At 41.3% G+C, this 27,625-nt stretch overlaps 1 protein-coding gene and 1 pseudogene across 8 annotated transcripts in view, besides 11 other annotated features; both read left to right on the forward strand.

The window, feature by feature from the left end:
* Positions 496-1,779: a promoter, noted in NCBI's record as "promoter fragment used in the reporter gene constructs". NCBI's record gives its function as "drives IFNAR1 transcription in transiently transfected THP-1 monocytes {active_cell/tissue: THP-1}" and the evidence as "EXISTENCE:reporter gene assay evidence [ECO:0000049][PMID:26679744]".
* Positions 496-2,620: a biological region, named in NCBI's record as "IFNAR1 promoter region". NCBI's record gives its function as "regulatory_interactions: IFNAR1".
* Positions 816-1,718: an enhancer, noted in NCBI's record as "H3K27ac hESC enhancer chr21:34696299-34697201 (GRCh37/hg19 assembly coordinates)". NCBI's record gives its function as "activates a minimal SCP1, AML or CMV promoter by ChIP-STARR-seq in primed H9 embryonic stem cells {active_cell/tissue: H9 hESC(primed)}" and the evidence as "EXISTENCE:reporter gene assay evidence [ECO:0000049][PMID:30033119]".
* Positions 1,006-1,215: an enhancer, noted in NCBI's record as "active region_18376". NCBI's record gives its function as "activates an Ori minimal core promoter by ATAC-STARR-seq in GM12878 lymphoblastoid cells {active_cell/tissue: GM12878}" and the evidence as "EXISTENCE:reporter gene assay evidence [ECO:0000049][PMID:35858748]".
* Positions 1,133-1,803: a promoter, noted in NCBI's record as "promoter fragment used in the reporter gene constructs". NCBI's record gives its function as "drives IFNAR1 transcription in transiently transfected HepG2 liver carcinoma and 293T embryonic kidney cells {active_cell/tissue: HepG2 | 293T}" and the evidence as "EXISTENCE:reporter gene assay evidence [ECO:0000049][PMID:17125879, PMID:18761606, PMID:19501422]".
* The window catches only part of IFNAR1 (interferon alpha and beta receptor subunit 1), a 35,470-nt gene continuing 9,061 nt past the window's right edge, over positions 1,217-27,625 (forward strand). For 4 of the 8 annotated variants that reach the window (NM_000629.3, NM_001384498.1, NM_001384503.1 and 1 more), the window contains exons 1-8: positions 1,792-1,953; positions 12,346-12,469; positions 17,821-17,996; positions 20,090-20,244; positions 20,357-20,498; positions 22,068-22,182; positions 25,913-26,112; positions 26,211-26,365. In NM_000629.3, coding sequence (NP_000620.2) covers positions 1,878-1,953; positions 12,346-12,469; positions 17,821-17,996; positions 20,090-20,244; positions 20,357-20,498; positions 22,068-22,182; positions 25,913-26,112; positions 26,211-26,365 — 1,143 coding nt within the window. In that variant the 5' untranslated portion in view covers positions 1,792-1,877. Of the gene's footprint in view, positions 1,461-1,791; positions 1,954-12,345; positions 12,470-17,820; positions 17,997-20,089; positions 20,245-20,332; positions 20,499-22,067; positions 22,183-25,912; positions 26,113-26,210; positions 26,366-27,625 lie in introns of those variants that run through there. The other 4 variants (NM_001384504.1, NM_001384500.1, NM_001384501.1 and 1 more) reach the window with 4 other exon arrangements.
* Position 1,224: a transcriptional cis regulatory region, noted in NCBI's record as "rs2843710 polymorphism tested in reporter gene assays, where the GRCh38 reference assembly contains the C allele". NCBI's record gives its function as "C allele results in higher activity of the IFNAR1 promoter compared to the G allele in transiently transfected THP-1 monocytes infected with enterovirus 71 {active_cell/tissue: THP-1(+EV71 infection)}" and the evidence as "EXISTENCE:reporter gene assay evidence [ECO:0000049][PMID:26679744]".
* Positions 1,436-1,485: an enhancer, noted in NCBI's record as "active region_18377". NCBI's record gives its function as "activates an Ori minimal core promoter by ATAC-STARR-seq in GM12878 lymphoblastoid cells {active_cell/tissue: GM12878}" and the evidence as "EXISTENCE:reporter gene assay evidence [ECO:0000049][PMID:35858748]".
* Positions 1,715-1,724: a transcriptional cis regulatory region, noted in NCBI's record as "-77(GT)n variable number tandem repeat region tested in reporter gene assays, where the GRCh38 reference assembly contains 5 GT repeats". NCBI's record gives its function as "9 GT repeats result in higher activity of the IFNAR1 promoter compared to 5, 14 or 15 repeats in transiently transfected 293T embryonic kidney cells {active_cell/tissue: 293T}" and the evidence as "EXISTENCE:reporter gene assay evidence [ECO:0000049][PMID:17125879]".
* Positions 1,719-2,620: an enhancer, noted in NCBI's record as "H3K27ac hESC enhancer chr21:34697202-34698103 (GRCh37/hg19 assembly coordinates)". NCBI's record gives its function as "activates a minimal SCP1, AML or CMV promoter by ChIP-STARR-seq in naive and primed H9 embryonic stem cells {active_cell/tissue: H9 hESC(naive and primed)}" and the evidence as "EXISTENCE:reporter gene assay evidence [ECO:0000049][PMID:30033119]".
* Positions 1,765-1,794: a protein binding site, noted in NCBI's record as "-3C/-3T probe, where the GRCh38 reference assembly contains the -3T variant". NCBI's record gives its function as "binds HMGB1 in HepG2 liver carcinoma cells with higher affinity for the -3C variant than for the -3T variant {active_cell/tissue: HepG2}" and the evidence as "EXISTENCE:protein binding evidence [ECO:0000024][PMID:19501422]".
* Position 1,781: a transcriptional cis regulatory region, noted in NCBI's record as "-3C/-3T polymorphism tested in reporter gene assays, where the GRCh38 reference assembly contains the T allele". NCBI's record gives its function as "C allele results in higher activity of the IFNAR1 promoter compared to the T allele in transiently transfected HepG2 liver carcinoma cells {active_cell/tissue: HepG2}" and the evidence as "EXISTENCE:reporter gene assay evidence [ECO:0000049][PMID:19501422]".
* USF1P1 (upstream transcription factor 1 pseudogene 1) lies at positions 11,435-11,923 on the forward strand (annotated as a pseudogene).

The raw sequence follows: 27,625 nt of genomic DNA on the forward strand, positions 1-27,625 counted from the left end.
TATATATATATGGCATATATATATGGCATATATATATATGGCATATATATATGGCATATATATATATGGCATATATATATGGCATATATATATATGGCATATATATATGGCATATATATATATGGCATATATATATGGCATATATATATGGCATATATATATGGCATATATATATGGCATATATATATGGCTATAGAGATGGCATATATATATGGCATATAGAGATGGCATATAGAGATGGCATATAGAGATGGCATATAGAGATGGCATATAGAGATGGCATATAGAGATGGCATATAGAGATGGCATATAGAGATGGAATATAGAGATGGAATATATATGGCATATAGAGATGGAATATATATGGCATATAGAGATGGAATATATATGGCATATAGAGATGGCATATAGAGATGGAATATAGAGATGGAATATAGAGATGGAATAGATATGGAATATAGAGATGGAATAGATATGGAATATAGAGATGGAATAGAGATGGAATATAGAGATGGAATATAGAGATGGGATATAGAGATGGGATATAGAGATGGGATATAGAGATGGGATATAGAGATGGGATATAGAGATGGGATATAGTGATGGAATATAGAGATGGGATATAGAGATGGAATAGATATGGAATATAGAGATGGAATAGATATGGAATATAGAGATGGAATAGATATGGAATATAGAGATGGAATATAGAGATGGGATATAGAGATGGGATATAGAGATGGAATATAGAGATGGGATATAGAGATGGAATATAGAGATGGGATATAGAGATGGAATATAGTGATGGGATATAGAGATGGAATATATAGATGGAATATAGAGATGGAATATATAGATGGAATACATATATATTCCATTGCATTGTTCTTTACAAACATTCATTTAATTATGTAATTGCTAATTAATTGCTTGGTTGTTATAACAACGAAGTATTTGATTCCTTATTTTATCTCATCATTTAAATTTTATTTCGCATATTTTCACAATGCACTGGATCTATTACTGAGGAATTTAATTAAATAATCATTCGAACCATGGGCTCGAATTGTTTACTGATAAAGCCCGACGACCAAAACAGCCTAGCGACTGCTGTTTGGAGCCCCTCGGCCCAGGGCCCGTGGCTGTTCTCTCCAAGGGACCATCTCGCCCCTCAGCCAAGTCGCCCGGAAAACGAGCGCTCGACCGCCTCTGCCCCGCTCTCGCTCTGCACACAGCAACGGTCTGGTCGCTCAGCCACTTCCTCCTTCCAGCCTCATCTGGTTCCCAGGCCGCTGGGGACTCCCAACGCCACTGTCCAAGACTCTAGGGTCAGCAAGCGCCCCGGGCGGAGAAGGGCGAGGACGAAGAGCGCCGGGCCGCGACCAGGAGCCCACCCGCGCCCTCCGACTGCAGACATGGGGAAGAGACGCGGGAACTCCAAAGTCGCTGGGTCTGCGCAGGTGTGTGCCGCGATCCTGTGAAGGTCAAGGCCTCCTGTGAGGGGGAGTCGTCCTGGAATGCGATGGTGAAGTGCTCCAGACCGGCCATAGGCCGGAAAGAGTGAGGAAGAAGAGAATGCAGGAGGCCTGCGATTTCTAAGGCGCGCGCGCACAGGGGTGCTGCAATTAGGATGGGGCAATGGGAGCTTGGAGAAGGGGTGCTAGCTAGGAGGAAAGGCGCGTGCGTGGAGGAACGGCGCGTGCGCGGAGGGGCGGTGTGTGTGTCAGAAGAGGCGGCGCGTGCGTAGAGGGGCGGTGAGAGCTAAGAGGGGCAGCGCGTGTGCAGAGGGGCGGTGTGACTTAGGACGGGGCGATGGCGGCTGAGAGGAGCTGCGCGTGCGCGAACATGTAACTGGTGGGATCTGCGGCGGCTCCCAGATGATGGTCGTCCTCCTGGGCGCGACGACCCTAGTGCTCGTCGCCGTGGCGCCATGGGTGTTGTCCGCAGCCGCAGGTGAGAGGCGGGGAGGAGAGTCTTGGCGCAGGGCGGGAGGTAGGGCACGCAGCTGGGCTACGGGGGCGGCGATGCTGTTGGGGGCGACAGACGCCCAGTCTGGGAAACCTTCGGTCCACTTTGCCGCGCCAAAGATTAAACCCGACCTGGGCTCGCAAATCAACCAGGAGAAAGTGGTGTTCTGGGTCCTCTCTTGCCGCTTGCCTGTGGCCGTGTACGGGTCCTCGGGAGCGCCCGGGTCCCACCCCCGTGAAATGGCGGTGCCAGAGCTTTGTGTCGAGTTTGATTCTTTCCGGGAAAGTACCGCGGCTCCGCTGGTCTGTTTGATAATAAACAAAACATTTCCCGAAATGCATTTCCTCAATCTGGTGAATAGGCGCCCAGTCCCACGGGGGAGTGAGCTAAGTGTGGCCAGGATTTCTCTGCCCTCAGGATTCATACAGGCCAATAAAAAATGACAGTCGGAGTGACTGAAGCATAATTGTCAGTTCTCGAGGTTTACTAAGCCTGCTTCAGGGCGCATCCGGGAAAAACGTGAGCCACAAACACGTCTGTGACTGGTTTTCCAGAGGTTTTCAGGAGGTGGGGCAGGAAGGCAGTAAGGCAAATAGTTCTGTGAGAATTTAGTTAGTGCCCAAGAAATCTGTATTTTAAGATACCATGAGTGTCTTGAAGAGAAAAAGAGAGTAAAGGGAGTCAGTTATGCAGATGCCTCTGGGTAGATGGAGTCTTGACTTTGTTTTGCACCTGAGAAGATAAGCTTGTAATTGACATGGTCAGTGTGGAAGGCCTGAACTAGTTTTTCAGATTAACTTTGGAATGCCATTTGTTGAGAGGAGAGGTCCATTCACATTGTTGGGGGGCTTAGAATTTTATTTTTGGTTTACTTAACTACCTACTTTTTTCCCAAAGAAATAATCATGTTCAAAACTCAATGAAATGTTATCTCAATGAGATTGTAATGTTGCTCAGTCTTTCAGAAGTCATAAAAATAGTCATACTTTTTAAACTAGTAAATGCAATTCTAGGACCCAAGACTAAGAAAACTGTCCAAAATATGGGAAGACATTTTTATTTATACTTTTTTTTTTTTTTTTTTGAGACAGCCTGTTGCCCAGGCTGGTGTGCAGAGGCGTGATCTCAGCTCACTGCAACCTCTGCCTCCCAGGTTCAGGCGATTCTCCTGCCTCAGCCTCTTGAGTAGCTGGAATTACAGGTGCACGCCACCACATCCGGCTATTTTTTGTATTTCTAGTAGAGATGGGGTTTTGCCATGTTGGCCAGGCTGGTCTCGAACTCCTGACCTCAAACAATCCACTTCAGCCTCCCAAAGTGCTGGGATTACAGGTGTGAGCCACCACGCCCGATCTATTTATGTTTTAGACTTTAGTTTTAGGAACTAGACTTAGGTTGTAGACCTGAAGTTACAGTTGGCATCCCCTTGTTTATGGGAGACCAGCAAAGAATTGACTTATGAATGATCTGTCAGGGTAGCCCTTCGCAGATGGCTGAGTCTTTTTATCCTTCCTTGGGGATTTGGCTGAAGCATAATGCTAGTAACAGCCATTCGTTTGGAAGAGGGTGTTGCAGTCACTTGGCCTCTGGGCTTAACTAACTTCCCTTTTGCGTAAGAAAGTTGGGAGAGGTCCTGAGATTTTTTTTTTTCTTTTACAAAAATAATAAAAGAAAAATACAAAGGCAGGGCGTCACCAGGCTAATTTGCTGAAATTCTTCATACTTACTTGGGATGCATGGGGGAATGGCAACTATTACAAGGTTGATAGAGAGTGAGAGGTAATTTTGTAGTGAGGAGGGGTACCCAAAGAGAATCAGGGCTAGCATCCCAGTGCAGGAGTCCAGGTGGTCTGTGAGCCTGCAAGTGAGTTCAAAATACTTTACCTGTTGGCTTAGGAAACCATATACCTGTGTGGTACATGATATCCTATTTCTCAAACTTTTCCACAAATATGTAGTATACTTTTCCTAGGATGTGGGTACTAGGGTCCTGGTGCATCCCATAGTAATTTCTTTGAAGTCTTTTGTTTATGAAAAACTTGCATTAAACTCATGTTTGGTTTGATGTGAAAAAAGCTTTCCCAGAATTTTCATATAAAATTGACATTCCAGGAGGGTGTGCATTAAGAAATTAATTTAAAATTAGGTTAGCGGACAGGTGGCAAGATATAATTTATAGGCATTTATCATTTCTTAAGCTCTTAGCTGTGTGCCAGGCAGTAATCTAAGTGTTTTAAAGGTATAAACTCATTAAGCTTTCAGAGCAGTGTAGATACTGTTATGCTTAGTTAACAGACAAGGAAACTGAGCAACGGAGAGATCAAGTAACTTGCCTGAGGCTGTATAGGCCAGTCCGTGGAGGAGTGGGAAGTCAAATCCTGAGTCTGGACTAATAGCCTTGGGGCTTAACCAGACTAGACTGTTTTCCCAAAGGCCAAACAATTTAAATTCCTGATTGTCCACTTGTATGTTAAGGGCCTAATTATCAGTATCTTTCAGTTAACTGTGAGCCCAAAAATATCTGAGACCGGTCTGAAATCAACTTAGAAAGTTTATTTTGCCAAGGTTAAGGATGCATTCATGACACAGCCTCAAGAGGTCCTGGCCACATGTGCCCAAGGTGGTCAAGGTCCAGCTTGCTTTTATACATTTTAGGGAGACATATCAATCAGTACATCTAAGATGTACATTTGATTGGTTCGATCTGGAAAGGCAGGACAACTCAAAGCAAGGCTTCCAGGTCATAGGTAGATTTAAAGATTTTCTGATTGGTAATTGGTTGAAATCAATGGAAAGGAATGTCTGGGATGTCCTAAGGGGTTGTGGAGACCAAAATTTTATCATGCAGATCAAGCTTGTCCAACCCACAGCCCACTGGCCGCGTGCAGCCCATGATGGCTTTGAATGCAGTCCAACACAAATTCGTAAACTTTCTTAAAACATGAGGGGTTTTTGTTTTGTTTGTTTTCTTTCTGTTTTTTTGTTTGTTTGTTTTTAGCTCATCAGATATTGTTAGTGTATTTTGTGTGTGGCCCAAGACAGTTGTTCTTCCAGTGTGGCCCACGGAAGCAAAAAGAGTGGACACCCTTGATGCAGATGAGGCCTGCAGATAGCAGGCTTCAGAGAGAATAGATTGTAACTGTTTCTTGTGAAACTTAACGTCTGTGTTGTTGTTAATGGTGGTTAGCTTTTTCTGAATTCCAGAAGAGAGGAGGGTATAATGAGGCATATCCAAACCTCACTTCGCATCATGGCCTGAAGTAGTTTTTCAGGTTAGCTTTGGAATGCCCTTGGTCAGGAGAAGGGGTCCATTCTGATGGTTGGGGGACTTAGAATTTTATTTTTGGTTTACGTAACTATCTACTTTTTCCCCAAAAAAAATCATGTTGAAAACTCAAGACCTTAAGTTTACAGCTCAAGCTGATCCTGAAAGTTATCTCAGTGAGATTGTAATGTTGCTCAGTCTTTCAGAAGTTGTATAAATGTACCTTTTAGCCTAGTAAATGCAATTCTAGGACTCTAGATTAAGAAAACTATCCAAAATATGGGAAGACATTTACTTACATATTTGTACAGATATCTATATTTGGATTTATGTCAGACTTAAAGATATAGTAAACCATTTTGGTCGTGAAAATGAATGTGAAAGGTTGAAAGCAACCAAAATTATAAATGCATTATATATATATTAGATTAAATGTCCATTTATACATTTACATGTGGGGTAATTAATTGTTAATATACTAATATAAAACATTTTAATATACTAGTAAATTAATATATTGTATGTTAATGTTACATAACAATTTATGAAAAAATTATTAAAAGGAGATTGCCAATAATAATAGAGCAAAATCTGTGAAAACTAAAATCCTGTTTAATAACTTTATTTCCAAGCCCCTGTCCATTTATCAGTCAGTTATTTGTTGGTCTTCCAAATGCCAACATGCCTGTAACTTCAGGGTCTCCTTCTTTTAGCAGTAAAGGATTTTTTTTCTCCCTGAGGAAATCACTAGCTGTACCCTATAACATTTTCTATTCTTGTCTCAAGGCCCAAAATTACTAGAATTATAATATTCTGCACAAGATATTGTAAATACTACAAATGCCATCAGATCTTTTGTTAAACTCTGTAAACCCAGTTGCTACCCTTTGGCTGCATAGAATCTATAAATTCTAACAAATGGATGAGAACCAAGTTAAGAATTCTAGAGTGGGATAAGGGGATGTGATGTATTCTATTCAGGGATGAAGTTTTAGAGACTCCAAGTATGAAACAGAAAATTGAGGATGGGGAGACCTGATGGGTACCACATTAAGTTTAAAAAAAAAAAAAGTGTTTTCTCAGCTGTCTCCCCTTTTGACCCCATACTATAAGATCTAACTGGAAAGAGCAAGAAGCTGTCTCAGTTAAGAAAGTTCTATACAAGAACCCCTGTGGTAGAACAAGTCTACAACAAGATAACATGATTGCCCCAAGGCAGAAGTAAAAGAAATATTGTAGGAACCATAAATGAATTTAAAAGCTGATCTTTTAAAAAATATATAACTTATCAAAGTGAGAGATCAGTCCTTTATGATATTTAAGGAGTTCCTGTGAATGCACCATTATGCTGGATACTCTGAAAAAATGCAAATCAAGTATGAAGCGATATAAATTCTGCCCTTAAGGAACTTGCAATCTAGTTGGAGATTTATGTTTAACACAAAGAAGCAGTTTTTACAAATACTTCTTTTGAGGATTCTGGGAAGATGGCAGAGTAGAAAGCACCAGGAATCTGTCTCCTCACCTAGACAAGAATTGTACTGGCAGAATCTGATGTAACTATTTTGGAACTCTGGAGTCTATTGCAGGCTTGCAACTTCCAGGGGACAGACTTAGATGGTAAATTGCAGTTAATTTTGGTCTATTTGAGCTCTTAGTACAGTAGCAGCTACCCATCTTCCACCTCTCAACCCTTAGCAGACAGCTGTGCACGTTATTAGAGCAATCTGCACACAACTTACAGGAATCAGGTGGGCAAAAAGAAACACACCATCCAGATATCTGGGATCTGTGCTCTTGATTGGTCATTGCTCCTTCTCGTCACAAAAGCGCAAAGAGATGGGCGGTTGTTGTTGTTACACCTTACTCATTGTTACAACCCCCTCCCCACTCACTCCCCTGCCCCATGGATTTAAAGGGCTAGAAATCTCCCTCTGCTTCATTTTTCTCTTTCACTTTTGGGAGCCGGATATTAAAGACTAGGACATTTAAAAACAACTGCATTTATGGGGAAAATTAGAAAGTCACTGTACATACCTAGGGAAAGGCTCAGGAGAGACCTTAAGTTTATAGCTCAAGCTGATCCTTGGCACAGGATTAACAACAATTACACAGCAATTAAACAAAGCAAACACACACACACACAATGTAGTCTGGGAGAGTGATGTTAGCAAGATGGCCAACTAGAAGCCCCTTCTGCTCATCCCCTCATAAGACAGCCAGAACAACAAATAAACAACTACATTTTAGCAAACTTAACTAAGAGTGCTAGAGTGCATCAAAGAAGTAACAGAAATCCTAGTGAGCAGAGAAAAGTGGGATGGCCACATGGAGAATGGGAGGAAATGCCAGGATTCCTAGGATCATCTGGGAACGAGGAGGAACTTCTTCCTATGGCAAGGAGATAAACAAGAAGATCCCAGCTACACCATGGGCACCAACAGATCTCACCACTGGGGTTCCTTAGAGTCCAGACAGCAACTAAGCCAAGCTGAGGAAGCTGCCTAGAGTCTGCACAGCTGTGTTCCCTCCAGAGAAGGAGCCAACACTGTGCTCCACCTGCTGTGGCCCACACAGCTACTGTGCCACTCCACCTTGGAACTGGAACTACTTCTGGAGTGTGTCTTGCTTCGGGGACTTGTAGCCATGGCTTCCTTTCATCTGAACCACGCCAGGCTGGTGGCTCAACATCCCTAAGCTAAACTTTAAGCAGCTGTTACACCCTTCCCTGTGGAGTCAAGCAGAGGTGGAACTACTCCACCTACTCCTACCCCACTGCCCTTGGGCTAGAGCTGAAGCAGTATCCTATTTCCTGGGAACACACTACCTTGGCCACCCAGAGCAGTCATGCACCCCTGTGCCTAAGCTGAAGTGGTATACGGCATTCCAGGGAAACAGGGCCTGAACCACCCAGAGCAGTCACACTCCCCGGGCCTCAGCTGAAGGAGCACATCACTCCCTGCAGAATCAGTGCCCTGGCCAAACCGAGCAGCTATGCATCCCAGGGCTGAGCTGATGTAGTATCCTATGTCTCAGGGAAACAGAGCAGTGGCTGAGCTGAGACACCCTGTTCTACAGGCCAAATAACTGTAGTACCCCGCTTCCCTGGAGCTGGACTAGTCCTCTAGAGCCTGAGCTGCTGAGACACTCTGAGGAGTGGAGTCATCACTGTGCTGTTCCCTACCCCCCATTCCCAGCCCAGACAACAGCTATGCTTCACCATTTTGTAGTACTTGCTGCTGCTGCTACACTTGGCCTCACAGTCTGGGGTACTGCTTATCCCTAGCTATTCCAAGATTTAGAGTCATGACTTCATGGTGCCTCATCCCTTGGGACCTGTGTTGCCACTGAGCCCTATTAGCTCATATTCCCAAATTAAAACCATACCCTGCTCCCCAGGCCCAAACCTCCAGAGAACCCCTTCTTTATAGTCAGGCCAGTGCTATGCCCTGACCCCCATAGGGGTAGAATCAAAGCTACAACCCATTCTCTGGGCCTAAGCTGCCAGGAAGCACCTCCAGGTCACAAATCCTGGCTCTGTGAGCAACTACGTCCAAGCCCTGCCACAGAGAGCAAACCCACCTCAGCAACCAAGTGTCTCAGTAGGTTTGTGAGATCCTGAGCCTAGGACCTTTGCCCAGTAGCCACTCTGAATACCTTCATCTGGAATCAAGAGCTGCTGCAGCTGCATATATATAGCCCCTGTCAGACCTGACACCAAGAGGTGTTGCCTTGGCTGAGTCTCCCCATTGTGGGGAAGACAAGAATAGGAGGATCCTAAAAGCCTTCAACACTGAGAACATTAACAACCTACACTACCACTGCCACAAACTTCTGCAGCCTAGGCCCCTGAGGCACCCATTTACTACTGACATTGAACACAGGTAAAGCAGCTGCTTTACCATACCACTGCATCTGTCAGGAAACAGTCACCACACCCTTCGAAACCAGCATACTGAAACCCAACTGCTAATAAAAGACTTTATCTTTGAAAGCCACTGTCTGTAAAGTTTGGAAGAGGTAATTATCCTATCAACACAAAGACACAAAAACATGAAAAAGCAAGGAAATATGACACCACCAAAGGAAAGTAAGAACTCTCTAATGGTGGCCCAATGAAAAGAAGATCAACAAATTGCTGGAAAAGGAATTCAAACTAATGATCTTAAGGAAACTCAACAAGATACAAGAAAATACAGATAGTTCAATGAATCAGGAAAACAATTCACAATACAAAAAATTCAACAAAAAAATTAAAACATGATGAAAAACAACCAAACAAATCCTACAGTTGAAGAATTCAATGAATTACATTTAAAAAATACAATAAAGAGCTTCAATAACAGACTTGGTAAAGCAGAAGAAAGAATCTCTGAACTTGAAGATATACCATTTGATATTACTTAATTGTAGAAAAAACAAGTGAAACCCTACAAGACTTATGGGACATCATTAAAGGAACAAACGTTCATACTATGTAAGTTACAGAAAGAGGAGAAAAGGTAAGAGGCATATACAAACTATTTAATGAAATAATAGCTGAAAACTTCCCAAGTCTGGAGAGAGATACAGACATCCAGATCCAGAAAGCTCAATGATTCCCAAATAGATTTAACCCAAAAAGGTTCTCTCCAAAGCACATTATTATCTGTTGTCAAAAGTCAAAGACAGAGAAAGAATTCTAAAAATAGCAAGAGAAAGGCATCAAGTCACATTTAAGAAAATCCCCATTCAGCTAACAGCAGATTTCTTCACAGAAACCTTACAGTGCAGAAGAGGATGGGATGATATACTCAAACAGCCAAGAATGCTATGCCCAGCAAAACTATCCTTCAGGAATGAGGGAGAAATACAGTTTTTCCCAGACAAGCAAAAACTGAGGGAATTCATCACTGCTAGACCAGCCTTATGAGAAATGCTCCAGGGAGTCCTACATCTGGAAGTGAAAAGAGAGCAGTCAGTATCTTGAAAACATGGAAAAGTATAAAACTCTCTGATAGAGCAGATACACAAAGGAGAAAGAGAAAAGAATTAAACCTTATCAAACCATCAAACCACAATGATAAATAATAAGAGAGGAAGAAAGGGGCAAAGGATATTATTAGAAAACTTTAACAAAATGACAAATGTAAGGGCTCAAATATCAATAATAATCTTAAATGTAAATGGATTAAATTCCATACTTAAAGAGACTGGCGGAATATTTTTTTTTTTCTTTTTTTTTTTTTTTGAGACGGAGTCTCGCTCTGTTGCCCAGGCTGGAGTGCAGTGGCGCGATCTCGGCTCACTGCAAGCTCCGCCTCCCGGGTTCACGCCATTCTCCTGCCTCAGCCTCCTGAGTAGCTGGGACTACAGGCGCCCGCTACCACGCCCGGCTAATTTTTTGTATTTTTAGTAGAGACGGGGTTTCACCGTGTTAGCCAGGATGGTCTCGATCTCCTGACCTCGTGATCCACCCGCCTCGGCCTCCCAAAGTGCGGAATATTTTTTAAATGACTCAATTATATGCTTTCTATAAGAAACCCACTTCACCTATAAAGACACATATAAACTGAAATTGAAGGGATGGAAAAAGTTATTCCAAGCAAATGGAAACCAAAAGCTGTCAGGAATTGCTATACTTATGTCAGATTAAACAGACATTAAGTCAAAAACTGTAAAAACAGACAAAGAAGGTTATTATATAATGATAAAGGGACCAATTCAGCAAGAGGATATAACAATTCTAAACATACATGTACCCAACACCAGAGCACCCAGATATATAAAGTAAATATTACTATACGTAAAGGGAAAGATAGACTCCAATATGATAGTAGTTGGGGACTTCAGCACCCCACTCTCAGCTTCGGACAGATCAGCAAACTCCAAGTACAGTGAACTCAAAGAGACCACACCAAGAAACAGTCAAACTTTTGAAAGCCAAAGACAGAGAAGTGACTTGTCATACACAAGGGATCTTTGATAACATGATCAGCAGATTTCTCACCTGATACTTTGGAGACCAGTGTATTCAAAGTGCTAAAAAAAACAAAACCAAAAAACTCAAAACCCTGTATATGGCAAAATTGCCCTTCAAAAGCATAAGGAAATTAAGATGTTCTTAGATAGACAAAAGCTAAGGGAGTTCATTACCGCTAGAACTGCCCTGCGAGAAATGCTTAAGGAAGTCCTGAAAGGTGAAATGAAAGGGCACTAGACAGAGGGGACAGTGCAGATTCAGGCAGGTGCAATGGCTTCTGGGGAAGACCCAGCCAGTGGGGCTATTGCCAGCATCCAGTCAGCTGCCACCTTCCCTGACCCCAGTGTCAAGTGATGCGCAGGGTGATCCAGGTGTGTGAGGGGCAGCTGGATGTCCAGACTGAGGGCACTGGTGCCATCAGTGGCTATCCTACCACTCAATTCATGACCCAGGTGGTGATCCAGGGTGATATCACCAGTTATGATGCAGTTAACACAGAGGGGAAAGCTGCTGAGATACACTATACTTTCCCACCCCTGCAGTGGGAGATGGGGCAGGGGGTACCACATCAGGGAGTACAGCTGCTGTTGTTACTACCCAGGGCTCAGAGGCACTGCTTGGGCAGGTGACTCTTCCTGGCACTGGTCAATTATTTGTGATGATGTCACCACAAGGAGTACTGCAGGGAGGAAGCCAGCACTTGATTGCCCCTAGGACTCAACCTTATTTATTTGGACGTAACACCATTGTAAGTCAAGAAGCATCTCTATCTATCTATGAACATACAATGTGAAATCAAATTGAGGCCATAAAACAGTTGAACCTCATCATAAGAGTGACTCATCGGTGTCACTTCTAAGACCAAGAAAAATTCTATTTTTATGCAGAGACCATTTGTTTTTTAATTAAAAGACAACTCTATTTCAAAGAGGAAAAAAAATCAACTCTTTTTTCAGCTCTCTCAGATGCAGAAATGTAATTATCAGCATCCCTGTGCTGGGAGCAATCATTAGTTTTTTTAGATTTTTAAAATATACTTCATTATGTTTCACTGTATTCATTCTTTAATCAGGGATGTGAGGGATAGAATAACATTTAGAATATCTGTACAGTTTGTATATAATGTTCTTATTTCTTGTTGCTTTTATAGGTGGAAAAAATCTAAAATCTCCTCAAAAAGTAGAGGTCGACATCATAGATGACAACTTTATCCTGAGGTGGAACAGGAGCGATGAGTCTGTCGGGAATGTGACTTTTTCATTCGATTATCAAAAGTATGTGACTCTACTTACTGATTTGTCAGAATGACCTGAATAATTTTTACAAGTTTAACAACACCATAATTTTTAGATTTGGAAAGTGTTTGGTTTTTCTATTTTTTAGAAATGTTACGCCTATTTTACATAATATTTTTAACTTTGTTTCTGTAGAGACTTAGTCAAATACATCTTTGGGTGTTGAAGCAAAAAATTGGGGATGAGGGTGGTAGACAGCGTCTCTAACCCATAGCCATTCCTTCTTTCTTCTGGGTGTTCCAGCTTCTTTTTTTTTTTTTTTTAATTATTATACTTTAAGTTTTAGGGTACATGTGCACAATGTGCAGGTTAGTTACGTATGTATACATGTGCCATGCTGGTGCGCTGCACCCACTAACTCGTCATCTAGCATTAGGTATATCTCCCAATGCTATCCCTCCCCCCTCCCCCCATCCCACAACAGGCCCCAGAGTGTGATGTTCCCCTTCCTGTGTCCATGTGTTCTCATTGTTCAGTTCCCACCTATGAGTGAGAATATGCGGTGTTTGGTTTTTTGTTCTTGCGATAGTTTACTGAGAATGATGATTTCCAATTTCATCCATGTCCCTACAAAGGACATGAACTCATCATTTTTTATGGCTGCATAGTATTCCATGGTGTATATGTGCCACATTTTCTTAATCCAGTCTATCATTGTTGGACATTTGGGTTGGTTCCAAGTCTTTGCTATTGTGAATAATGCCGCAATAAACATACGTGTGCATGTGTCTTTATAGCAGCATGATTTATAGTCCTTTGGGTATATACCCAGTAATGGGATGGCTGGGTCAAATGGTATTTCTAGTTCTAGATCCCTGAGGAATCGCCACACTGACTTCCACAATGGTTGAACTAGTTTACAGTCCCACCAACAGTGTAAAAGTGTTCCTATTTCTCCACATCCTCTCCAGCTCCAGCTTCTTTCAATATAAGTTGGGGTCTGAGCTAGGGTATATCTTGAAGATATGGCATTGTACTCCAAAAGGTCCATCGAAGACCTTGGAATAGGCCACCAGGTTTCCTGTGATCAGGCTTTCCTATTATCTCCATGATATACTATATTTTAATTTTAGGTACACTTTTTTTTTTTTTTTTTTTTTGAGGTGGAGTCTTGCTGTGTTAACCAGGCTGGAGTGCAGTGGCACAATCTTGGCTCACTGCAACCTCCACTTCCCGGTTTCAAGCGATTCTCCTGCCTTAGCCTCTCGAGTAGCTGGGATTGCAAGCACATGCCACCATGTTTGACTAATTTTTTTATTTTTAGTAGAGATGGGGTTTCGCCATGTTGGCCAGGCTGATCTCAAACTTCTTACCTCAGGTGGTCTGCTCACCTCAGCCTCCCAAAGTGCTAGGATTACAGGCGTGAGCCACTGCCCTGGCCTAGATACACTTTGTAAATATATTGTTAACTGGGCATGGTGGCATGTGTCTGTAATCCCACCTACTTGGGAAGCTGAGGCAGAAGAATCGCTTGAACCCAGGAGACAGAGGTTGCTGTGAGCCAAGTTTGCACCACTGTACTCCAGCCTGGGAGACAGCAAGACTCCATCTCAAAAATAAATAAATAAATAAAATAAAATAAAAATCGATATATTGGACCTTGCATTTCTAAAGACTCAGTTTTTCTGGAGTGTTGATGTCTCTTCCTTAGTACTTTCTACTTAATTATTCAAGAGGAGAGGCAGGCAGAAGGAGGAATATAGAAGGGAACACAGATCAGGAAGTACAGTACTTTGCCTTCCGATTATGTGTTGGGGCCCCACCTGCCAACCATGTTCCCCTGTCCAAGAAAAAGCAGGCAATGAAGAAATAAGGCATTAGGCCCTCCGGAACCAGGAGCCCACCACTTCAGCCACAGCTGTGACACTATTCTCGAGTTGTAACTAAAACTGGCATATGAATCTCACAGCTTCAGTAATTGTGTATGCATATATAAACAAATACACACTGTATATATGCATATATACACTATATATATACATACTGTATATATACATTACACTATATATAATACATACTGTATACATACATATACACACATTGTGTATACATACATATACACACATTGTGTATACATACATATACACACTATATATACATATACACACTGTATATGTATATGTATATACACACACAAATTCATATATGACTTTTCTCAGAATTGATCATTTAAAATTTTTTATCTCTAGAGATTTTCATTAAATTGAACTTTGAGTTTGGTTACCAGTTTTGTTTTTTCCCTTAGTTTGGAATTTCCTTATGAACAACTATTTTAGGTAGAGAAGGAATTATTTCAGATACCCTTATTTAATGTTACTTGTATAAAGAAACTATTTGCAAAATATGCATCCAACAAGAGCTTAATATCCAAGGAACTCAAACAATCAACAACAAAACCCAAATCCATCAAAAGGTAGGCAAAAGATAGGAATAGATATTTTTCAAAAGAAAACATACAGTGGCCAACAAGTATGTGAAAAAATGGTCAACATCACTCTAATCATCAGAGAAATGCAAACGAAACCTGCCATGAGATATTGTCTCCCCGCAGTCAGAATGGCTGTTATTAAAAAGTTAAAAAAGGCTGGGCATGGTGGCTCACACCTGTAATCCCAGCACTTTGGGAGGCCAAGGCAGGTGGATCACCTGAAGTCAGGAGTTCGAGACCAGCCTGACCAACATGGTGAAACCCCATCTCTACTAAAAATACAAAAACTTCAGCCGGATGTGGTGGTGCGTGCTGTAATCCCACCTACTTGGGAGGCTGAGGCAGGAGAATCGCTTGAACCCAGGAGGCACAGGTTGCAGTGAGCTGAAATCGTGCCCCTGCACTCCAGCCTGGGTGACAGCAAGACTTCATCTCAAAAAAAAAAAAAAACCCAACAAATATTGAATATATTTCATGCCAAACACTCTTCTGACTGCTTAGACTGCCTCAGTGAACAGGAGAGGCAAAGATGGCATGAAGTTATATTATGAAACGGATTTCATGAAGTAAATATTACATTAGTTACATATTCATATTTCATATTCTGTTCTGAGCTAATTATTGCATATGATAATAGTTTTTTTGTTGTTGGTTTTTTTTTTTTGAGACGGAGTCTTGCTCTGTTGCCCAGGCTGGAGTGCAATGGCGCAATCTCGGCTCACCGCAACCTCCGCCTCCCGGGTTCAAGCAATTCTCCTGTCTCAGCCTCCCGAGTGCCTGGGATTACAGGCATGCACCCCCACGCCCGGCTAATTTTGTATTTTTAGTAGAGACAGGATTTCTCCATGTTGATCGGGCTGATCTCGAACTCCTGATCTCAAGTGATCCACCCCCCTCGGCCTCCCAAAGTGCTGGGATTACAGGTGTGAGCCACCGAGCCCGGCCAATAATGATTTTTTTAAGAAAATATAAAAGTAGCTTCTGCTGCAATATCTTGATTAGATGTAAAACAGTTTTAATGGAGCATGCTTCAGCATCTCCTGAAGTAGGAAAGACAGATGTAAACAGTGAGGTTGGGTTGAAATTATATTAAGTTTTAAATTTTTGATAAGGTTTTCTGTTTATAATGAGAGTTTCTGGATTTTTAGAAATAGATTCTGATGTGGAACCTTTTCAAGAATGTTTAAGGTATTTTTAATGCCAGCTCTAATCTCAGGCCTCAGATATGTAAAAGTGGAAGTGAAAACTGGCCAAGAATGAAGTATTTCATATGCTAGTGTATATTTTTGGTAATTTCTTAAAAATGTTTCCATTTTGAAAAACAAGGTAGACTTGTATTTGGTTCAGCAACAAAATTATTTTGGTATTATCTCTGGTTTCTAATATCTAAATCGTCTTTAAAATGGCATCTGTGATATTATTAAAAATAAATAAATCAGCTAATGAATTAGGCTTGACAAAAATGCCTTCCCAGAAGATAGTTTCTCTGCTACTTATGGTCAATGGGCTTAACATAGGTAAAAGTTCTCAAATCTGCTAAATTGGCCGGGCATGGTGGCTCACGCCTGTAATCCCAGCACTTTGGGAGGCTGAGGTGGGCAGATCACCTGAGGTGAGGAGTTTAAGATCAGTCTAGCCAACATGGCAAAACCCCATCTCTACTAAAAAAAAAAATACAAAAATTAGCCAGACGTGGTGGCACACGCCTGTAATCACAGCTAGTTGAGAGGCTGAGGCAGGAGAATTGCTTGAACCTAGGAAGTGGAGGTTGCAGTGGGCCGAGATTGCACCACTGCACTCCAGCCTGGGCAACAGAGTAAGACTCTGTCTCAAAAAAAAAAAAAAAAAAAAAAAGAAATCTGCTAAGTTCGTTTCTATCCCTCACTTTCCCTGCAAGCTCTTCTTCCCCTTTCTGGGCAACATGTCCTTTTCTGCTTTAGGCACTCCATGCCCACTTTATTTTTCATGTTTGCCCCTTTTTTGAAAGGAAGAATCTAATATCACTTCAGCTTTCTGATTGGCCAGTTCCACTTCCAAAAATTTATTTGTTTATGTAAACATTTTCAGTTTTGTGGTTTCTGATGATGTAATAGAAGAAATTACGGAGACAGGCAAGCAGAAGGGATGGTTTGCTTTTGGAGAGGGCAGAGGAAACCTTGAAACCATACTGATTCTGAGGTCTTTCTTAGGGAAGGTAAGTCTATTCATAGGAGGAGGTCAGAAGGGAATCATCAAATCCAATTCCCCAGTTTCTATTTAATTTTATTTTATTAGAGACAGGGTCTTGCTCGGTTGCTGAGGCTGGAGTGCAGTGATATGATCATAGCCTACTGCAGCCTGCAGCCTTGAACCCCTATGCTCAAATGACCCTCTCACCTCAGCCTACCCAGTAGCTAGGACTGTGGGCATGTGCCACCATGCCCTGCTTTGCCTTTTTTTTTTTTTATTTCTCATAGAGACAGGGTTTGCTATGTTGACCAGGCTCCAAACTTTCAATAAGGAAGATAAGATCCAGAAACACAAAATAGTTTACCAAAAGTCACACAGCTATTTTTAACAGAGCCAACATACTAAATCCACTTTTACCTTATGGGTCATTTATTTCTCTGCTTCCTGAAGCAACCACCCACAAAATTATATAAAGAACTGTATTTTAAAATTCAGTTTCATAAGTAATAACTTGGCTTATATGCATTGAAAAAGAGTGGAAGGGTGTATGCTAAAATGTTAATAGGACATTAGCTCAAGTAGAAGAAATAACTCTTAAACCAAAAATAGAAATAACTCTTAAACAAGAGTTATTAAGAGTTAAGAAATAACTCTTATACCAGTAAATAGAAAGTATTTGACACTTACATTTATACATTTGCTCACTCATTCATTTGTTTTTTTTACTTTAAAGAACTGGGATGGATAATTGGATAAAATTGTCTGGGTGTCAGAATATTACTAGTACCAAATGCAACTTTTCTTCACTCAAGCTGAATGTTTATGAAGAAATTAAATTGCGTATAAGAGCAGAAAAAGAAAACACTTCTTCATGGTATGAGGTTGACTCATTTACACCATTTCGCAAAGGTAAGAAAAAGTTGCTAGCTGAATTATATTCTTTAGTAAATATTACCAGAGCAGTTCACTTTCCAAGCCATTCATTTGCATGATGCAAAATCTAACATCTTTTAAAAAGAACAAAAATTCCCTTAAACCTATATCTTCTTCCTGCTATGGCTCCATTTGTCCTACTTTCCCTGTAGTAGTGGTTCTCAAAGAGTGATCCTCAAGGCCCTTTCAGGGGGCTGTAAAGACAAAGCTATATTTATGACAAATCTAAGACTTAGTTGCCTTTTTAATTTTTGTTCTTTCTTGTATTCACAGTGGAGTTTTCCAGAGGAGGCTGTTTGATGTGTGATGTGGTGATATGGTCACTGATTTAACATAGAATTCAATGTGAAATTCATCTGCCTTCTTTATTAATCCAAACATTCAAAAGATTTGGAAAAAAAATGTAAAACAGCACCACTCTGAAGTTTCTATGTTCCTTTTGGCAAATGTTTGTTACCATAAAATAGGTTTATCATTGTTATTTCTTTCTTTTTTTTTTTGAGACAGAGTTTTGTTCTTGTTGCCCAGGCTGGAGTGCAATGGCACAATCACGGCTCACTACAGCCTCTGCCTCCTGGGTTCAAGTGACTCTCCCGCCTCAGCCTCCCGAGTACCTGGGATTACCAGCATGCATCACCATGCCTGGCCAATTTTGTATTTTTAGTAGAGACAGGGTTTCTCCATGTTGGTCAGGCTGACCTCAAACTCCCAACCTCAGGTGATCTGCCCACCTCAACCTCCCAAAGTGCTGGGATTACAGGCGTGAGCCACCATGCCCAGTCCATTGTTATTTCTTAATGGATTAATTAGTTAAAATGGATTGAAAACTTTACCAGTTTTAATGTTTAATATGCTAATATAAAAATATACAGCCCACATAAATAATGGCTGTTTGGGATTCTCGATAATTCCTTTAAGAATGTAAAGGAGCTGAGTGTAGTGGCCCACACCTGTAATTCCAACACTTTGGGAGGCTGAGGTGGGAGGATCACTTGAGGCCAGAAGTTCAAGACCAACCTAGGCAACATAGTGAGACCCCATCTCTACAAAAAATATATAAAAATTAGCCAGGCATGGTGGTGCACACCTGTAGTCCCAGCTATTCAGGAAGCTGAAGAGGGAGGATCACTTGAGCCTGGGAGATCAAGGTTGCAGTGAGCTGTGTTTGTGCCACTGCACTCCAGCCTGAGCAACAGAGCTAGACCATATCTCAAAAAAAAGTGGGGATCCTGAGACCAAAAGGTTTGAGAACCACTGCCCTGTACCAAGAATGATCTGTACTCCCTTTCTATACTAATCTTCCAATTCCCTGTCAGCCCTCTCCATTCAAATTCTGTTCCTCCTCACTTAAAACCACTCTTTTTGGCCAGGCGCGGTGGCTCACGCCTGTAATCCCAGCACTTTGGGAGGCCAAGGCGGGCAGATCACGAGGTCAGGAGATCGAGACCATCCTGGCTAACACGGTGAAACCCTGTCTCTACTAAAAATACAAAAAAAAAAAAAAAAAAACTAGCCGGGCATGGTGGCGGGAGCCTGTAGTCCCAGCTACTCGGGAGGCTGAGGCAGGAGAATGACATGAACCCGGGAGGCGGAGCTTGCAGTGAGCCGAGATCGTGCCACTGCACTCCAGCCTGGGCGACAGAGCGAGACTCCGTCTCAAAAAAAAAAAATAAATAAACCACTCTTCTCAAGGTCACAGCAGCCTCCACAATGCCAAGCAAATTCCCAGTCCTCTTCTGGCTTCATCCCTCTGTAGCATAGATGTGGTCATCACTCAGTTTTTCCTTTACTGGATCTCTGGGACACTGCTCTTTCCTGGTTCTCCTCCTGCTCATTGATCGCTTCATCTTCCCAACTTTTCAGTGTTAGACTGCTGCTGGGCTCAGTCATTGAACCTCTTCTCTTTCTGTATCACTCCACTGGTGATCTTACAGCTTTCTATCCTATCTGTATGCTCTTAACTCCCAGAAGTGGCAGGCACATATTAAGTGCTCAGAATTATTTGTTGAATGAAGGTTTTGGCATTGTATTAATAAAGTTCCATAGTAATTGTTTTGATTTTTTTGCAGCTCAGATTGGTCCTCCAGAAGTACATTTAGAAGCTGAAGATAAGGCAATAGTGATACACATCTCTCCTGGAACAAAAGATAGTGTTATGTGGGCTTTGGATGGTTTAAGCTTTACATATAGCTTAGTTATCTGGAAAAACTCTTCAGGTGTAGAAGTAAGCATTATTTTTACCTCTGTTTAATCGATGTGAGAGAAAAATTAGGCGAATTAATCCTAAAATTTGACTTTATACTTTTTTAAAGAACCAACTTATATTTGTGTTATAGGAAAGGATTGAAAATATTTATTCCAGACATAAAATTTATAAACTCTCACCAGAGACTACTTATTGTCTAAAAGTTAAAGCAGCACTACTTACGTCATGGAAAATTGGTGTCTATAGTCCAGTACATTGTATAAAGACCACAGGTAAGGAAGATGTTTTGTTTTAGATTCAATAAATATATAAACAGATTGTCAATTTTGGCATCTTCCCCATATTGCTGAAGTTTACATGATAGGTCAATATATGTTAAAAACATTGTAACATTTACATAAGCAAAATAAATGTTACTTGGGATTTTTGTCTCAAATAGTAATGAAAATTAATTCTACTTAAAAGTTCAGGCTGGGCGTAGTGGCCCACGCCTGTAATCCCAGCACTTTGAGAGGCTGAGGTAGCTGGATCACTTGAAGCCAGAAGTTCGAGAACAGCCTCGCCAACATGGGAAAACCCCGTGTCTACTAAAAATAATTAGCTGGGCGTGGTGGCTCACGCCTGTAGTGGTAGCTACTTGGGAGGCTGAGGCACAAGAATCCCTTGAACCTGGGAGGTGGAAGTTGCAGTGAGCCAAGATCGCGCCACTGCACTCCAGTCGGGAGCAAGGGGGACAAAGAGTAAGGCTCCGTCTTAGAAAAAAAAAAAAGTTCAAATATTTTGTAATGACAAAACTTTTCATTTGTTCAGAATCCACATGAAGCAGGAGGTAGCTGAACTATGAGTTCTGCAAGTGGGAAGAAAAGGTGGGGAAGTAGTTGCTAGTAGACAAGTTATTGTTCAAGAAAGCATACCTTTGTAAGTGGAATGTTAAAATATGAAAGTATCCTGATACATTTAGTAACATCTTTCCAATAATTAAGGTCAAGGGCAGGAGCTGGGATTTGTTTATTTTAATTGTAAATTTCATATGCTTTTTTTTTTAATCAAACATTACGGAAGGGTTTAAAGTGAAGTCTTCTTCTCCCTTCTTATCCCCAATTCCATTCACTAGAGATAAGCATTGCTTAGCAGTTTGTGTATATCCTTTCACAACTTTTTTCAGGATTTATGTAAGCATATACACAGACCCACAGTTTCTTGGGTTTTGTTTTTTAAAATTACAAAATAAAATCTTACTAGAAGTATTTTACAGCTTGCTTACTTAACCCAGTGTGTTGGGGATATTCTATATCACTCAATACAGATCTATTACGTTCTTCATTTGATCTTAGCCATCTATTGCATTCTTTCTTTTTTACTTATTTATTTATTTATTTATTTATTTATTTATTTATTTTTGAGACAGAGTCTCACTCTCTTGCCCAGAATGGAGTGCAGTGGCTCAATCTCGGCTCACCGCAACCTCTGCCTCCCAGCTTCAAGCGATTCTCCTGCCTCAGCCTCCCGAGTAGCTGGGATTACAGGCGTGTGCCATCATGCCTGGCTAATTTTTGTATTTTTAGTAGAAATGGGGTTTCACCATGTTGGCCAGGCGCGTCTCGAACTCCTGACCTCAGGTGATCCATCCACCTCAGCCTCCCAAAGTTCTGGGATTACAGGTGTGAGCCACTGCGCCCGGCCTGTAGTCTTTCAAATGGCTGCATAGTATTACATAGTGTGAATACAAACCATATTTAACTATTACCTTATAATGATAAAATGCGAGCCTTTATCTTCTTGCCAGTTATCTCACTTGAGTAAAAATGTGTGCTTTTTTTTATCTGTTCTTTGGCTTCTAGTTGAAAATGAACTACCTCCACCAGAAAATATAGAAGTCAGTGTCCAAAATCAGAACTATGTTCTTAAATGGGATTATACATATGCAAACATGACCTTTCAAGTTCAGTGGCTCCAGTAAGTTCCATTCCATAAATTTCCTTTTGCCCAGTTTGTTTTGATTATGCTTCTTTTCGCTCTGCATCAGTCACCAGGTCCTTGCACACAGAATGACCGACTGGGAGGTGGGTACGATATATTGGAAACGTGAGAAATCTCATTTCTAACCCCAGTTCTGCCAGTAACTAACTGGATGACATTGAGCTAATCGCTTAACCTCCATGGGCCTCAATTTCTTCACTTGTAAAATAGATGGATTCTAATATCTGGGGTTCTTACTGGCTTAAGAAAAAAAAGAAAGTGTAACTAGTTGCATGTGTTATTTCCCCAATCTGGAAGACTCGACAGTTGACCCTGATCTTTTTCTAAGAACTCACTTCTTCCATGAGTCCTTAAAATGATCTCAGTCCACTCACTTGTTCAATTCAAAAAATTAGCCTTCCTATTTTCTTTATTACTTTAGTGGTTTTGACAAAATTTTGTAGTAGATACTTCGGTGGGAAAGAAAGTTGGAAAGAACTATGTTCTATGTGGTTGAGCAGAGGCTAGCTAAACATGGATGAAGTCCAGGCGCTGCATAAATGAAAGAGAACTGGCCTGGTGCAGTGGCGCATGCCTATCGTCCCAGCTACTCAGTGGGCTGAGGCAGGAGGATTACTTGAGGCCAGGAATTGAGGCTGCAGTGTTGTATGATCACACCTGCTAGTAGCCGCTGCACTGCAGCCTGGGCAACATAGTGAGACCCCCATCTCTAAGCATTAAAATTTTTAAAAAGCTGATAAAAGAGAACTGCATGTAGTTTATATTGATTGGAAAATTGTAGGAGATGAATAGAGAAAAGAGAAGAGGAAAATTAAGTAGAAGGAAAAATGGGTTATGGGGAGAAAAGAGATGGAAAGAAAGATATACATTGGTGGCAGAGGAGTAGAGAGAGCAAAGGCAAGTATAGCTAAGACAGGAAAGGAAAAGTCAGAAGAAACTGGAAAGAAACAGAAAAAATGAGGGAGAAGGGAAGTGTAAGTACCGCTATGATCAATTTCTATCTTTTAGTGTTAATTTTGAACCAAGGGTGACTGGTAGAATGCAAATGCATTTATGTGCATATGTGCCCCACAATGCATATATAACCTCACAAACCAATCAGGAAACTGTTCAGTAGTCTTTTGTGTATACCTCACTTTCAGAAGTGAATAAATAATAGGGTCACCAAATAGATAATGAGAGGTATTTCTGATAGCTGATCTCTAAGCTTCTTTTGGGTACTTACCATATTGTACAAAGCACTGAAGAAATGGAAAGAGTCAGCAGAATCAAACGTGGTTCAAAAATTGAAAGCAGTTAGCCAACATTGCAAAGTGTTGTGTGGTTTAGGACTAAAGAGTGGTATACAAATTATAAGGGTTGCAGAAATTGAAAATGTAAAGGTGAATAGGGGCTAAAGAGACCAAAGAAGCCATAAGGAAAGAGATAAGGTATGAACAAGGCCTTGATTGTTAATTCAGATTTTTTTTAAGTAGACAACTATTAGATGTTAGTTTTCTGTGTCTGTAACTAATTACCACAGACTTAGCAACTTAAACAGCTGTTTATTGTCTCAAAGTTTCTGTGAGTCAGGAGTCCAAGCGTGGCTTAGCTGGCTCTTCTGCTAAGCAGTCAAGGAGTCAGTCATTCATACAAGACTTGGGGGCCGCTCCCAAGCTCACATGTTGTTGGCAGAATTTATTTCTAGAGCTCATGGTGGCTCACTTCTTAGAGGCCATCAGGAAGGGAGAGTCTGACCTCTAGATCCTTTTTTTTTTTTTTTTGAGACGGAGTCTCACTCTGTCACCCAGACTGGAGTGCAGTGACATGATCTCAGCTCACTGCAACCTCCGCGTCCTGGGTTCAAGTGATTCTTCTGCCTCAGCCTCCCAAGTAGCTGGGACTACAGGTGTGCACCACCACACCCAGCTAATTTTTGTAGTTTTAGTAGAAACGGGGTTTCACCGTATTGGCCAGGCTGGTCTCGAACTCCTGACTTCAGGTGATCCACCCGCCTCAGCCTCCCAAAGTTCTGGGATTATAGGCGTGAGGCACCGCGCTCAGCCATTTTTTTTGTATTTTTAGTAGAGACGGAGTTTCTCCATGTTTGCCAGGCTGTTCGCAAACTCCTGGCCCCAAGTGATCTGCCCACCTCAGCCTCCCAAAGTGCTGGGATTAGAGGCATGAGCCACCATGCCTGGCCTAGATCCTCTTTTAAGGGGTTCATCTGATTAGGTCAGGCCCACCCAGAATAGTCTCTCATTTGATTCAACTGATTTGGGACCTTAATTACATCTGTGAAATACCTTCTCTTCTGCCACTTAATGTAACCTAATTATGAGAGGAGGGCCTCCATCGTATTTACAGGTCCTGCCCATGCTCAAGAGGAGGGGATTATACAGGATGTGTACACCAGGGGGCAGGAATCTTGGGGGCCATCTCAGAATTTTGCCTTCTCCAGTGGGGAGGATGTCCTTCTAGAGTAGCAGAACATTTGGACACCAGGTGGCAATGGGAAGAAAGCTGAATAAGTAGAATGGGACAAGATTAGGGTCAACCTCAGGCTGTCCTGTAGGCTTTTGGGGATTTTGTGTTGGGGTGATAGTTAACCTGAGCTCTGGATTTGAGGAAGGTGCATGCGGCGACATGGTATGTGGGAGAGTGGACTAAGGAGACACTAAAGAGAGATAAGGAAACCAGTCAGGAGGCTATTAGAGTTCTGGGCTTGAACTGAGATGCTTTTAGCTGTTGGTTTCTGGGCAAGTTACTTAACCTCTTTAGTCTCGTACTTATACTTGCTCTTATAACCCCGCAGTGTGTCTCTATTTTAGCACTTAATCAGTGTCCATTGGTATGCTGGCGCATGTTTAGCAGCTGGCTTTCCAGAAAGAAAAAGTCCTATTTTGTAGTGTTTGCTGATTTTTATGATATAAATATTCCCACCATGGCCACTTTCAAGCCACCAGCCTGATGTCCCTGAATATGGAGTTGGGAACATATGCACAGTAGCACACCACTATCATATAGCTACAATAGATAAAGATAGCCCCAAGAGCTTAGAAAATAAAATGTAGTAAAATAATTAGGACAAGATGAATTTATTTATTACCTCTGTCTTTAAAACAATTTTTTATTTGCAAATTTATATAACTTAATTTTTAGTAATGGTTTTTCTTTAAAAACCAGTTTGTATTTTAGGAGGCCGAGGTAGGTGGATCACCTGAGGTCAGGAGTTCAAGACCAGCCTGGCCAACATGACGAAACCCCATCTCTACTAAAAATACAAAAATTAGGCAGGCCTGGTGGCGTGCACCTGTAATCCCAGCTACTCAGGGGGACAGAGGCAGGAGAATTGCTTGAACCCAGGAGGCAGAGGTTGCAGTGAGCCAAGATCCTACCACTCCACTCCAGCCTGGGTGACAGAGCGAGACTCGGTCTCAAAAAAAAAGCCAAAAAAAATAAACCAGCTTGCAGCATTCCTGGAAATTCTAACTAACAGATGTTCTTGCATATTGATATGAGCCACCTCCAGCAGAGCACAACATGACCACAGTCTGGAACAGTCTTTGGTTTTCTTTTATGTTAGATGCATATCTCTTCCATTGTTTGTGAGTTTCCTGAGTGTGGATACTATTTATTTCTGTAACCTTAGCCCCTAACATAGTGTCTGGCAATTGTAAATACTTAATAAATATCTAATGAATTTAAAAAATATTTGTCTTAAAAGCGCCTTTTTAAAAAGGAATCCTGGAAACCATTTGTATAAATGGAAACAAATACCTGACTGTGAAAATGTCAAAACTACCCAGTGTGTCTTTCCTCAAAACGTTTTCCAAAAAGGAATTTACCTTCTCCGCGTACAAGCATCTGATGGAAATAACACATCTTTTTGGTCTGAAGAGATAAAGTTTGATACTGAAATACAAGGTAAGGCAGTAGTTTTTACTGGAGATTGTAATTCTCTGGTGCAAGTTTTTAAAATTGTTTTTCTAATTGAACATTATTTCTTTACAAATTTTTTCTAGCTTTCCTACTTCCTCCAGTCTTTAACATTAGATCCCTTAGTGATTCATTCCATATCTATATCGGTGCTCCAAAACAGTCTGGAAACACGCCTGTGATCCAGGATTATCCACTGATTTATGAAATTATTTTTTGGGAAAACACTTCAAATGCTGAGGTAAAAAGACTGTATAGTATAATTTTGTAACTTAGAGTTATAATTATGATTTGGGTAAATAAAGCTTGAATGTAAAATTTGGGGGAAATTTTTAAACTTTATGTGGGCTGGATGCAGTGGCCTGTAATCCCAGCACTTCAGGAGGCCAAGGCGAGAGGATCACTTGAGCCTAAGGGTTTGAGACCAGCCTGGGCAACATAGGGAGACCCTGTCTCAATAAAAATTTTAAAAAATTAGCCTGGTGTGGTGGCGTGCACCTATATTCCCAGCTACTTGGGGTGGGAGGGTCACTTGAACCTGGGAGGTCAAGGCTGCAGTGAGCCATGATCGTGCCACTGCACTCCAGCCTGGGTGACAGAGTGACTGACAGCTTGTCTTTAAAAAAAAAAAATGTGATTAACTCAGATATTAACAAAATGAAGATTATGAGCATTTTTCATGTTTTGCACTGTAGAGTTATGGGTGAGCTGCATCTGGGCCCCAGTTTGCTTTTAAAATACAGATTCCTGAGCCTATTGTTACTGAATCATTATCTCTGGGGATGGAACTCAGGAATTTGCATTTTTAACATGATTCCCATGTATTCATCTAAACCTGGGATTCTCAGCACTATTGACGTTTGGGCTGGATAGTTCCTTGGGAGGGGGCTGTCCAGTGCAGTGCAGGATGCTTGGCAACATTCTGGTTTCTGCCTACTAGATGCCAGTAGTGTTCCTTCCTAGTTGTGACAACCAAAAACATCTTCAGATATTGTCAAATGTCCCCTGGTGGCTCCTCCAAGGGGACAAAAATTGGTTCTTATGGGACAAAAGAATTTATGTAGTACAGTTGTTTGTTTTCCTCCAAAACCATTGGAAAGCATTCTTCCAAAGTTCAGCTTTGCCCAACAAAATCTTATTCCTTAGTATTTAATTTTATGATGGGGGAAGGATTAGGAAAAAATTGCCCAAAAAGTTGTTTAGTTGGGGAGGTAATGAAAAAAGGGTTGACAAACACTGGTCTAAACCCTAAAATTCAGATACCACTGACAAAGATAATATATACCGTCAGATAATATACGTGTTTCCCAGATCACTTCCCCCTCGTGGACTTGTAGTCAAGAATCGACCTTTAAAACTCCTGTCCAGTCAGGCTGGTAAATTCTTTAACTTCACCTCATTTTCTATTGGAAATCTAAGCAAATTCCATTGATTTGGCTGCTTCCCTTTTTAATTGTCTGACAACCCTGTAACCATAGCTTAATGTAGCCCATTGAGAATT

Source organism: Homo sapiens, chromosome 21, assembly GCF_000001405.40.
Source record: "Homo sapiens chromosome 21, GRCh38.p14 Primary Assembly".
Lineage (NCBI taxonomy): Eukaryota > Metazoa > Chordata > Mammalia > Primates > Hominidae > Homo > Homo sapiens.